We start from the raw sequence: 11,738 nt of genomic DNA on the forward strand, positions 1-11,738 counted from the left end.
TTCCCCCTAATGCTCTGCCCCCATCCCTTTACTCATCCTTACATCCCAGTTGAGATGATACTCCTCAGGCGAGGGTTCCCGGACCACCCAAAGTATGACCCTCTACCGACTCCATCCTTTTCCTTCCCACTATTCTTTTCCCTTCATAGCACCCACTGCAACTTGGAAAGGCATCTTTATTTGGATGTTTATGCTTTTAACGGCTGTCTCTCTCACTGGATGAGACGCTCCAAGTGGTCAGAGACTGTGCTGGTTTATTGCCCCATGCTCTTCATGCCAGCATAGGGGTGACCTAGCAGGGCCCTCGAAGGTGAGGAACGGGGGGAAAAACGTGGAGTCAGCTCCCTCGTGCCCAGCCTCCCTGGGTTACCCTTATCCCCAGGCTCCTCCAGATGGCAACCCCCAGGGCAGTGGTGAGGGCTCCAGGGCGTGTGTCCTCTCATTCTTCCTCTTGTCCCTCCATCCCTCATCATTTCCACAGCAAGGACAAGGGTCTGTGCTGGACACAGAGAAAGGCCTGGAACTACTGGCCTCTGACCCCACCCAGCAAGGCCCTACCGTGCTCAGGGGACAATTTCCTTCTCTCTGCCTCTACCACAAAGTCACAGGGCAGGCCTGTCTAAAAAGCCCCAATGCACACAGACATGCATGCGCGCAAAACAGCTCTAGAAGGGAAAAACTTTTTTTAACGTCTCTGCCATTTTAGTGTCATGTTACTGAAACTTCCCTTCCCCAGTGGCTCAGTTCAGAGCCTTCTGTGTGAAGTCTTTAAACAACGGTGTTTCAGGGTCCTCAACAGCAATAAGATGGGACACCTCTCAGGGTTCTGCTTGCTCCTATTTCAGTCTCTTCTCACTCAGGAGAGTCCATGCTTCCTACTGGTTGGCAGTTTCAGGCTGACCCAACATGGGTAAAACAAGAGCACCTGCCATTTTCAAGAGAGGCAAACAGGCTTCACCCAGGATACCTGGGGCTTTGGGGGTCTTCCAAGAAGCCCTGTCCACCTGGAAAGCTCTTCCTTCCAGACTGGCTCTCTTCCACTTGCAGTCCCTCCTCCTCGGCTCAGGACTGTACTGGCTGGCCCCAGGCTCTGGCCACAGCAGTCCCTAGGGCACCAGAAGAGCACATAGCCTGGGCCCAAACTGCAGCAGTTATGGCTCCGGCTTCCAGATGGAGAGGTGGAGCCCTGAGGATCCCAGACCCTGCCTGGCTTCAGTCGGTACACAGCAGCAGTTTCCCTGAGATCTTCAGGTCATCAAAGGGCAAAAGGACAAGGGACTGAGAAGGAGAATGGAGAGAAGCAAGATCAGAGGACATGGGAAAAGGTGACTTGGGAAAGGGGACCCAGGGAAACCTGTTGGGCCACTCCCTCCCCACCAAATGACAGTTGAAGACCATCAGGGAACAAATCTTCACACGAATCCTCAAAATAGTGGCCCCTCTGGGCTTGGCAGAGCCCTGAGGACTTAGACAAGCCTTCCTTTTCTAAGATAATGCCAGAATATCCGAGTTAGGAGGGACCCTTAGAGGTGATCCAGCCCATGGACCTGGAGTTGTTTGTTGTTGTTGGGGGATGGGGTGGGGGGGCTGCTGGGTACTCGCAGAACATTTAGGTTTCTTTTTTACACTGAACATTTAAAAATAGGAAAGACTGTACAGAAAATCTGAGTTTCACCTCTCAAGAAAGTCCAAGACCAGGAAAAACTGGGCCTACACTCCTGCTTTGTAAGCCTTTGCTGAAGCTGAGTACAGAGACCCTCAGGGATGGCTCTCTGGGTTCTTATAGGCCTCACCACACCATGGTCTCATATCTGGCCAACTTCACTGATTCACTTTAACTGCAGGGTCCCTGTAAGAGTCCAAATTTGGCTCCTTGGACCAACTAAGGAAACAGGCTCAAGTTCCCACAGTTGGTCAGTGGCAGAGTCCTGGTTATACCCCAGGACTCCTGGCTCCCTGGCCCTTTCAGCTAATGACAGAACCTCTCTCTGCTATGGGTGTGCAAGGCCCTGGAGAGCAAAGCATATGCCACTTACTTCCTCAGTCAGGTCCTGGGGCGTCTCATCCTCCACATTCCGCAGCAGGGAGTCAGCACCCGCCTTGCACAGAGTGGATGAGATGCCCATGAGACCCCGGCCAGCTGCCAGGTGCAGGGGTGTGCACCCGTTCAGCATGCGGGCATCTACCTGGGCACCAGCCTGGAGCAGGAACTGTACCAGGCCCCGCTCTTGGGTTTCCACAGCCAGGTGCAGCGCTGTCTTACCACTGGTGCCCTCCTGGGGAGGAATAAGGATGTCAGCCAAGGCCCTCAGAGGCAGTGTGCTGGGCCTGGGCTCTGGATAAGGAAGTGAATGCCACCACTTCTGACTGCTGGGCAGGGGACTTGGGGATGTGTCAGGTGGGGGCAGGCCCTGGGCCGGGCAGTGCTTTGCTGGCTGTCTCACCTGCACATCAATGTCAGCTCCATTCCGAAGCAGCAATTCCATGAGTGGTTGGTTCTTCTGAAGGGTGGCAATGTGGAGACAAGCCAGACCTGGGATGGGGTGAGAGTGAGGGTGAGGGCTGCTGATCTGCATCCACCAACTCCCTCTCTTCTGGGACCTCCCTACCACTCAGCCCCAAGGGACTCACAGCCCACTCAATGTCTCTAATCACAAGACTGTTAAAATGCAAACCCCAAAACCCCCTCAAAAGTCTAAGGGGAAAGGAACTCAAAGTTTCCACCTTTTCAGAGTCATGTTATTGAAACTTTCATGCTTCAGGGGTCAGGCTGCTGAGTGACACCCCCAAAGAACACCCTCCTCCTATACACAAACTACAACACACACACACACACACACACACACACATACAGACACACACACACACACACACACACACACACAACCTGCCTTCAAGCCCAGTCTGAAAGCCACCTTTTCTGAAAAGCCACCTAAGATCCTCATGCCCCCAGCCCTTTCTCAGGGGCCGCTTCCTTCTGTGCTCCCCTGGCCTTTTTGCTCTCCTTTCTAGTCTGGACACTCCCGACCCTTGCTTAGTAATAGAGATTTCGATTCAAATTTACATTCTTCACCTTCCTCAGGGCGCTATTCAGATGTCACTGGCTCCATGAGGCCTTCCCGGACCACCCTATTTAACAATCATATCAACTCTCCTACTCCCCACATTCCTTCCTCTCACTCTGCTCTGCTTTTTACTACAGCACTTACTTCCTTTTAACATATTACATAGTTCACTTCTTACATTTATTGCTCATCTCAATCTTTCTCTATTTTGCACACAGATGCAAGTGTAGCTCCTAGGATAACGTCTGGCACATAGAAAACCCTCAGTACATTTCTGTTGAATGAATGAATCAGGTCATCTAATCTCTATTAAACTAAGTATCTTAAGGGCAAGATTTAGTTTTCTTCTCAGCAGGCAGTAGGTACTGGTTAAATTCGAAATCAAATCATCCATTCATTCATTTGGCAAAGATGTACTGAATATCTATGTGCTTACAGTGGGAGGGGCACCAATGGACAAGCTGGGACCCTCCCTTCCCCAAGAGTGAGGTCCCTATCTCCTATGCCCTCCTCATCCCACAGGCCCTAAGGGCAGTCTTAAAGACTGTCCACACCTTGCCAGTTTTGCAGCTGGAGGTCCAGAGAGTGAGATGTTCCTCTGCCTGGCTCTGGCCGCCCTTCCAGCAGGCAGCGGGCACAGGCCAAGTGCTGGCGCTGGCAGGCCACATGAAGGGCTGTGTCACCATGCCGGTCCTGTAGTGCCCGGCTGGCCCCCTTCAGCACCAGTGCCCGAACTGCGCCCGGTTGGTCCAGATGTACAGCCAGATGGAGTGCTGTCTGGAGGCACAAATAGAGGGTCATGGGGCCACTGCAGCATGCTCCCACCTCTGGGAACATGCTTGGGCTCAAGAATCACCAGCTGCCAGCATCTTCTTTGAAAGCAGCTTATAAAGGCCATAACCTGTTCTTCCAAGGAAATACTACCGAGCCCTTCCCCTGTCACACCCCTCCCCCACCAAGCTCTTGGGATCCCAATTCTGGAAGCAAGGTGAAGAAAGTAGCTCTCTGCTTTTCTTGTAAGTCACCTTAGGCCCTGGAGAAAGGACATGTAGGAGGAGAGTCTAGCCCCTCACCCTGTGAGGAGACCTCTGTTACCCCCAGGGGTTAGGCTGCAGGAGGAAAGATAGAGGCACCGGGCAGTCTCTCCCTGGCAAAACTCTCTGTTAGGCTCCATTCAGATGGCATCTCCTCTGTAAGCCTTCCCTGGCTGCTGCACACAGACACTGGACCCTATAGCAGCTGGTATGTGTCTCTATCACAACTCTTGTCACCAGGCTGTGTATTTAGCTGTTGATACAAGTCCCCCAGCCCAGGATGCAAGCACCTCAGGACAGAGGCCATGTCTTACTTGGGTCTGTCTCCTCAGTTTCTAGCTCAGTGTCTGGCATATGGTTTCCTAAGTGAGCAGCCTTTGGACTGGTATGGCTGCTGGGAATGGCTGCCAGGGCACAAACAGGTATCTGGGCATAACATTCTCTCGCCACCAACCTGGTAAAGGTTATTTTGAATGTCCAGGACCTCCTGGGGCAGCAAAGCCAGGCAACAGAGCAGCACCGCTGGGGCCTCATGAATCACTGCCAGGTGGACCAGCCTAGGGGAGCAGAGGCGGGGCTTAGAGTTAAGGGCCCAGGCCAGAGGGAGTGGGTTGGGGTCTTGGAGTTAGAAGGAACACATCAAACTTTAACTAGCTACCCATAGGGTAGGTCCAGGAAGTGAGAGTGTGGGCCAGGAAGTGAGGGTTGGTGTGGGAAGCCAGGATCCTAGGGTTGGAGCTCCAAGTTCCCACTGCTGGCCTTCAGGAGGGCCTTGGCTGGGTGGGCATGTGGGCAGGGTGCTGACAGGACAACAGCCTTCCTGTCCAGCCTGCCCACACCCACTCCTCTTTGCCCTCAGGGCTCTGCCGAGCCAGCTGCAGCTCAAAGCCAAATTGAAAGCTGCCGAAGTAGTCCAGAGGGGGTTTCCAGGGCTAAGCACCCCACCACCCCAGCACACAGGAAAGAAGGAGACAGTTGCAGGGTCACCCCGTACCCCCAAGCAACTCAGTGTTACACATTCCAAGGGAGAGACACAGAAACTCTTGGAAGAGGAGCAAGGAGACAGTGCAGCATCCTGTCCTGCTGCCCTTCCCTGGGAGTCAAGAGGCACCTCTCAGATAGCACAGACCAGGTCGGGCCTAACAGAGGCCCTCCATTCCTGTGTGCACCTCCAAGAGGAGGTCTTTGTAGTGCAGAAAATGTATTTGTTGAGGGGGCCAAGAACCTTAATCTAGGGGTAATGGGGGCAGTTGGGAGGGGAAGTTCCAGTCTTGGGGTTTCCCCACGTCAGGTGGGGAAAACGAAAGCCAGTGATGGAGGGTCTAGGCCGGGACAGCTGCCTTGGGGCATTAGTGAGGGGGGTAGATTGGCTAAAAGGCCCGTCTGGGCTGGGGAGGGGGCTGCTTGGGCAGGAGGGTGGCAGGCTTTAGCAGCAGGCAGCAGGAGAGGCCCAGGAGAGTGACGGAGGGAGGGAGGAACTGCTCTGGAAATCCCCTAGGCCAGGGCCTGCTCTCTGGGTCACATTCTTGCAGCCACCTCCCTCTCTCCCCCAGTATCCCCTCCTCCCACTTCCTCTTCCCACTTCCATACCTCCCACAGCCCAGACACCTCCAACAGAGGGAGGAAAGTGCCCCCTGCTCTCTGGGGACTCGCTGGGGAGCCCGGACATTTCTCCCCTCCACACACACACCCAATCTGGACACAACACCTGCTTCTAACTAGAGATGGAAAAGGCTGGGGCTGAGAGGCTAACAAAAGACGGCAATGTCAAAAGTCCCCTCTCCTTGGATCAAAGGTCATCAGAGGTATCTTGCGTGCAGCCCCCAAAACCTTGGGGTTCTGGGCCTGAGGGCTGGTGATCCAGGCAGAGTACAGAAAGGACTGGGTCACTCCTCTCCCACCCACTGGGTCCACCAGCTGTCTTTATCAATGGCCACCCAGGATTAGGACCCTGCATCTCCAAAAAGCAGGTTAGGACAGCCACCTCCTGCCTCCCCTACTCCTATTTATATGAGCACCCTTGACCAGGGATTCCAGCCCTCCCCAACTCTATTTCTCATCCCCAGTTCCCAACCTTTCCCTCCTCTGTCAATGTTTTCTTCTTCCTGGGGGGCTAAATCCTCAACTGGCCAACCCATCCCACACAACTGCCTTTTACTTCAACTGCCCTCTGGCCCACTCCCACCAAACTCCATCTGGGTCTGGAGGAGGAAGGGTTAAGTGAGGGAGTGAGACACGACAGTTAGTGGGACTGGGGGCTCTGGAGGTAGAGGATGTCAGGGACGCTGACTCTAGCCCTCACTTCCCCTTTCTTAGCAGAGGAGGAAGTAAGCTGGGGCAGCCAGCCGCCTGTCTGTCTGCTGGGGCAAGAGTGCCCCAGCCTGGCTCACCCCATCCTCCTGAGGACCAGTCCCAAACCTACACCCTGGTGGCACCCCCCATGCCTAGCTTCCTGGCCCCGACTGGCAACCTGTAACTGGCACCTGTTGTTCCTTGAGACAGAGCATTCTGAGGTCAGGAACTGGGAATCCCAGATATTGAGCAAATAAGGATGTCCCCTTCCCCAGCAAGAAGAAACAAAAAAACTGGACTTGGTCAGGGGAATTTTCTCTTCCTAAGGGTGGATTATTGGTAGATTTCCAAGATGCTGGCTGGGTTAAGGGTCCTGCCAGCTCTGCCCACCCCGAAATGGGAGGACAGAGATGATTCCATGGCCTAGCTGGACCTCAAAAGTGGGCTGAGAGTTAAGTCTGGAGTTTGGAAGAGCGAATGGGGACTTGAAGGATCTTCACGGGGGAGTGGGGGTGCCCGACCTGTTGCGGCTCTTGGGCAGGCCCAGAGTTAGCATCCCGATTCAGCCTAGCCCCCATACTCACGTGTCTCCGTCCTCGGAGATGTAAGTGAGTGCTTCCAGCTGCTGAGGGCTCAGCGCCCCCACGTGGGGGAGTGGCAGGCGTGGGGCCGGGTCCTCAGCCTCGGGGCCCCCCAGCAAGGACAGGGTGTAGGTGAGCGAGGAGGAGCCATAGGTGGAATCAGCCCGCTCCCCATCCGCGTCTTCCTTCTCCTGTGGTTCCTTGACGGGTCCCGGAGGATGGGTGCAGGGCTGGGGGCTGCCGTCCGAGGGCCCGGAGGCTGGAGCCGAGGTGGACTCGGGTAGGGAGCGCAGAGAGCGCAGAGACTCAATGCCAGAGTCGTACTGGCTCTCCTCCGCCTCGTCCGGCCCCTTCCGCGCCTCCGACATGCCCGCGGCTCTGGCCGGCCGGGGCCCGGTCTGAGCAGGATCCGGCTCCAGGCTCCGCCGCGCCGCCTTTCCGGGTTGCGGGTCCGCTTGGCAGAGCGGGCGCCCGGCCCGCGGCGGCCTCCTTCCCGGGCTGTGGGGCTCCGAGGGGCCGGCGCGCAGCGAGGACAAGGTTCGGAGCGCTGGCCAGGTCCACCCAGCGGTTACTGTGGGCAGCCGAACCGCCCAAGCGGGTCCTCCTCCTCGCCCCGCCCCTCCGGACCAACAGGGTCGCCTCACGCGGATGGCCCCGCCCCCTCCCCGCCCCCGGCGGGCGCTTCCGGAAAGAGGCCCCGCCCCTCCGGAATCCCCCTTCCCGGGCTCTGCGTAGGCTTGGAGTCTGTGGTTCCCGGGCCTTGACTCACTCCTTCGTTGATTCATTCACTCATTCATTCATTCATTCATTCACTCTTTCCCCCTTCCTCCTTCACTCCATTCATTAGTTCCACGCATGTACTGTTTCCTTCTTTCACTTCTATTTCTTAATTCATTTGTTTTATTTTTATTTTTTATTTTTTTGAGACGAAGTCTTGCTCTGTTGCCCAGGCTGGAGTGCAGTGGTTGATCTCTGCTCACTGCAACCTCCGCCTCCTGGGTTCAAGCGATTCTCCTGCCTCAGCCTTTCGAGTAGCTGGGACTACAAGTAGAGACGGGGGTCTCGCTACGTTGCCCAGGCTGGTCTCGAACTCCTGGGTTCAAGCGATCTGCCTGCCTCGGACTACCAAAGTGCTGGGATTACAGGCTGTGAGCCACCGGTCCCGGATCATTCATTTGTTTTAAAAGAAATATCTATTAATTGTCCGTACAAGCTGGCATCTTTGGGGGAGGGCATGTAGGCGATGGGATGGGGAAGCACTGCTTCCTATCCCCTGCCCATTTATCTCAATTTCTCTTGCTTTCTCATCTTTCCCTATCAGTGCCCAGGGGTACGGGTAGGGAAAGGGGACTCCCATTATCTTTAAAGGAGCAGTTCTCCTGGGTCCTGGAAGACAGTCTCCTGTGTCAACGTCCCACATCACATGGAATTGGGCATGAAAATGTTTTTTTGGAAAGAGCGTCTTCTCAGGGAAACTGTTGTCTAAAAAGTAAAGTGGTTGTGGAGTTTCTTCTTCCTCAAAGGGTGAAACCCTGGCCTTGGGTAGTTACAGTTTCTGGTCAACCCCAGCAGTCAAGGAAGTGGGGTCAGGTTGGGGAGGCCCCAGACATGCTGGGTTGCACTCTGCTCAGGTCCCCAACACAGCCCCAATCTTAGTCCCAAAACATCTTTCCTCTTTCACTGTCCCTGGGCCTAGGAAGGCCGTGGGAGCACCCTACTACAAGTGAGCCCTAAGCCCATGCTCCATGATTTATTCCCTCATTCCTCCCCACTATTCCAAGTGCTATCAGCCTAACGCCAGCAATGCCCTTAGAGGGTTATCCGCAAGGGAACATGTAGCTTTTCCATCTCCAGCATTGGAGAAAGGAAGGTGGATGAGTGTAGACAGCAACGTTTTGCAGGGGGGAGGCCAGCTTTCCCACAGCCCTTCCCCTGCAACCTCATTTTATTCATCCATCATTCACCTACTTGACAAACATGTATGGAAGGTCTCCTGTAATGTCTGACGTTGTTCTTTCTACTGGAAGCAAAACTGACTATCACAGTAATAACCAATAACCACCCCCCATGACCAACAAAAAAATCCCATGGTCCTAAAAAAGCTCCTTGGCAATTACAGCTCAGAGTGGTTGGGATAAGACAGAAGTGAGAACAGGGTGTTGTGGGGGCACACAGTGGGGCCAGCTACTCAGTGGGGTGAGAGGCAAGGAAGCTTCCATTTGAACTGAGAATGGGAAGGGAAGAGAGATAGGGAGAGGAGAAGGACCTAGTCTGTGGGGGGCGATTGGAGGCAGAAGAGTTGGGGGAGGGCTGAGGGGAGAAGATGGCCCACTGTTCTTCAACCCCATGTAGGACCAGAGTGGGAAAGACGTAATGAGCATGAAGCCCAGTGAGGAGCCACGAGGGGAAAGGCCTGGGAAATTGAAGCATCTCCTTCCCTTGAGTCAGCATGATTTCAGATGTTCTCAGTCTCCTCCCCTGACATGTTCCTCTCCGGTCCTCAAAGGCTGCAGCAAAAGTATAGTAATAAACTCCAGACCCAGACCAACTGGGTTCAAAATTTGGCCGAGCGCGGTGGCTCACGCCTGTAATCACGCCTATAAACTTTGAGAGGCTGAGGTGGGTGGATCATTTGAGGTCAGGAGTTCAAGACTGGCCTGGCCAACATGGCGAAACCTCATCTCTACTAAAAATACAAAAAGTAGCTGGGCCTGGTGGCACATGCCTGTAATTAATCCCAGCTACTTGGGAGGCTGAGGCAGGAGAATCACTTGAGGGTGGAGGTTGCAGTGAGCTGAGATCACACCACTGCACTCCAGCCTGGGCAACAGAGTGAGACTCAGTCTAAAAACAAAAACAAAAACAAAAAAATCCACACGAAATCTGACACTATCATCCCCATTTTAATGTTGGGAAACTGAGGCCCAGAGAGGTGAGTTGACTTGCTCAAGTTAAAATAGAAAGTGCAGAGATGGCTTCTCATCTAATCCAAAACTTTTACATATTTTTTAGTGGAACCTTCTTTTCTTTATCAAGAGGTAAACCACATAGGGTGGGAGTGTCTGAGCCCTCTGCAAGGATGTAAGAACTCAGGAGTGTGCAAGGACCTCCTTTTTATTCATACAGAGGCTGAATTTTAGGAAAAACCCACTTAACCCAGCCAGGTGTTTGGCTCTGAGCCGTAACAGGTGTGTGGCAGTCCCTTTTATGGCCACATGAGGTCAGCATTGAGTCACCCACTGGCCCCACTACCAGAGCTTGCACTCTTGACAGGAATCCTTTCCAACACTCCAGGAATGGGGAGGGGGACCATTGCAGTGTTATCTGAAAGGGTGACCTGGGGACTTTGACTTAGGCCACAGCATGGCTAGGGACCTGACCTCGCCTCCTCAGCTCCAGTCTTCTCTGAGGCTGGGCCCCTCGTCTTTCTCTCTGTTGTTTTCTGGTTCCCTTTGTGCCCCCACTCCCCACCTCCACCCACCCCAGCTAGGCTCATCTTCAGGAAACAGGCCTGGTTTCCATGGTGACCAGCCGGTCAGCTGGCTCCTTCCACCGCCCCCTCCTTCACCCCCCTTTCTTGTAGCTTCCAGGGAAGGGTACTGTGTGTGAATGGAGAAGGCAGGGGTAGCCTTTTGTCTCTTGGGAGCTCTAGCATTGGCCAAAAAGAGCTAAACTGTCCCTCCTCCAAAGCCCTTTGAAGTGGAGACAGGAAGGCAGTGGGGGTGGGTGTCAAGAGGAAGATTATGGTGCCTAAATGGGGAGCACGAAAGGATCCTCTGTGGGTTTGGAAAGGCCAAGGTTAGGGGCTCTGCTCTCTGTGGGGGAAGGGGTTGAAACTGGAACAAGAGGGGCTGGAGTTAGCTGTGAGGCCAGCTTCCCAAAAAGCATGGGCAGGAGATGCTGGAATGAACCACCAAGTGAGATTCTGCCTCTGCCAAGGGAGTGAACCAGACCCCCGCCTCTTCTGGACAGCCGCCTTCCTCTGGGCAGGGAGAATGGACCCATCAACCTGGAGAGGACCATGCAGGCTGGATAGCTCTAAGCAATAGGTGGACAGAGAGCCACCTTCACCTCACCTGGAAAGGGAAGAGTAGTAAAATGAAGGCAGGGCCAGGAGTGGGACTAGAGGGGTGGGAGCAGTGGCTCTCCTGTCCCCAACAAGGGGAAGGAACATCCTGGGCAGATCAGTGTGTTTGTACCCTATCCCCCAAAATCAGACATCGAGGCTTTGCCCCAAACTAACTTCCTACCCACAAATATTCCCCATAGATTTTGAGTGGGAAAGATCTGAATTCTAGGACTAGCTCTGTGAGTGCTAGCAGGTGACCTTGAGTAAGCCATTCACTCTCCCTCTGCCTTGGTTCCCTGTGAGTAATTGGGGAGAACAGTTACTGTATGTCAAAGACTCTAATGACACATAGTAGGATTCCACAGTGACTGTGTATGCACAAGATTGATCATGCATGGCTTTTATTATATTCTTCATAATGGTTGTTTTTCATGTTCTTTTCTCCCCATTAGACTTTGTGCTCCTTGCAGGAAGGAAACTGTGTTTCATTTCTGTACTGGGCACACAATAGGTACCCAACACCTGTTTACTGAATGGAGACATCCAGAAATGAATGAATGAATAAATGTCAGGGTCCTTCCTGCTGTGCCAGGGGATACAGGGAAAAGCAGTGTGGGGTGGATGGCCTGAAAGGATAGGCTGCCTGCAGTGGCTCAGCCTGGCTTGCTTCCTACACCTACAAGTCAGAGCCTTAGAA

At 53.9% G+C, this 11,738-nt stretch overlaps 1 protein-coding gene across 1 annotated transcript, besides 8 other annotated features; it reads right to left on the reverse strand.

Annotated features, from left to right (window-relative positions):
• On the reverse strand, positions 160–7,545 carry NFKBIE (NFKB inhibitor epsilon). The gene is made up of 6 exons (NM_004556.3): positions 6,976–7,545; positions 4,554–4,656; positions 3,620–3,842; positions 2,445–2,533; positions 2,037–2,276; positions 160–1,278 (listed from the first exon to the last, which is right to left on the reverse strand). Exons 1-6 carry the CDS (start codon positions 7,338–7,340, stop codon positions 1,213–1,215), a joined length of 1,086 nt encoding a protein of 361 aa, NP_004547.3. The 5' UTR covers positions 7,341–7,545; the 3' UTR covers positions 160–1,212.
• Positions 5,170–5,229: an enhancer, noted in NCBI's record as "active region_24633". NCBI's record gives its function as "activates an Ori minimal core promoter by ATAC-STARR-seq in GM12878 lymphoblastoid cells {active_cell/tissue: GM12878}" and the evidence as "EXISTENCE:reporter gene assay evidence [ECO:0000049][PMID:35858748]".
• Positions 5,240–5,489: an enhancer, noted in NCBI's record as "active region_24634". NCBI's record gives its function as "activates an Ori minimal core promoter by ATAC-STARR-seq in GM12878 lymphoblastoid cells {active_cell/tissue: GM12878}" and the evidence as "EXISTENCE:reporter gene assay evidence [ECO:0000049][PMID:35858748]".
• Positions 5,500–5,619: an enhancer, noted in NCBI's record as "active region_24635". NCBI's record gives its function as "activates an Ori minimal core promoter by ATAC-STARR-seq in GM12878 lymphoblastoid cells {active_cell/tissue: GM12878}" and the evidence as "EXISTENCE:reporter gene assay evidence [ECO:0000049][PMID:35858748]".
• Positions 5,700–5,749: an enhancer, noted in NCBI's record as "active region_24636". NCBI's record gives its function as "activates an Ori minimal core promoter by ATAC-STARR-seq in GM12878 lymphoblastoid cells {active_cell/tissue: GM12878}" and the evidence as "EXISTENCE:reporter gene assay evidence [ECO:0000049][PMID:35858748]".
• Positions 6,050–6,279: an enhancer, noted in NCBI's record as "active region_24637". NCBI's record gives its function as "activates an Ori minimal core promoter by ATAC-STARR-seq in GM12878 lymphoblastoid cells {active_cell/tissue: GM12878}" and the evidence as "EXISTENCE:reporter gene assay evidence [ECO:0000049][PMID:35858748]".
• Positions 6,672–7,171: an enhancer, noted in NCBI's record as "H3K4me1 hESC enhancer chr6:44232415-44232914 (GRCh37/hg19 assembly coordinates)". NCBI's record gives its function as "activates a minimal SCP1, AML or CMV promoter by ChIP-STARR-seq in naive H9 embryonic stem cells {active_cell/tissue: H9 hESC(naive)}" and the evidence as "EXISTENCE:reporter gene assay evidence [ECO:0000049][PMID:30033119]".
• Positions 6,672–7,759: a biological region, named in NCBI's record as "H3K4me1 hESC enhancer GRCh37_chr6:44232415-44232914".
• Positions 7,090–7,759: a silencer, noted in NCBI's record as "silent region_17262". NCBI's record gives its function as "represses an Ori minimal core promoter by ATAC-STARR-seq in GM12878 lymphoblastoid cells {active_cell/tissue: GM12878}" and the evidence as "EXISTENCE:reporter gene assay evidence [ECO:0000049][PMID:35858748]".

Source organism: Homo sapiens, chromosome 6, assembly GCF_000001405.40.
Source record: "Homo sapiens chromosome 6, GRCh38.p14 Primary Assembly".
Taxonomy (NCBI): Eukaryota; Metazoa; Chordata; class Mammalia; order Primates; family Hominidae; genus Homo; species Homo sapiens.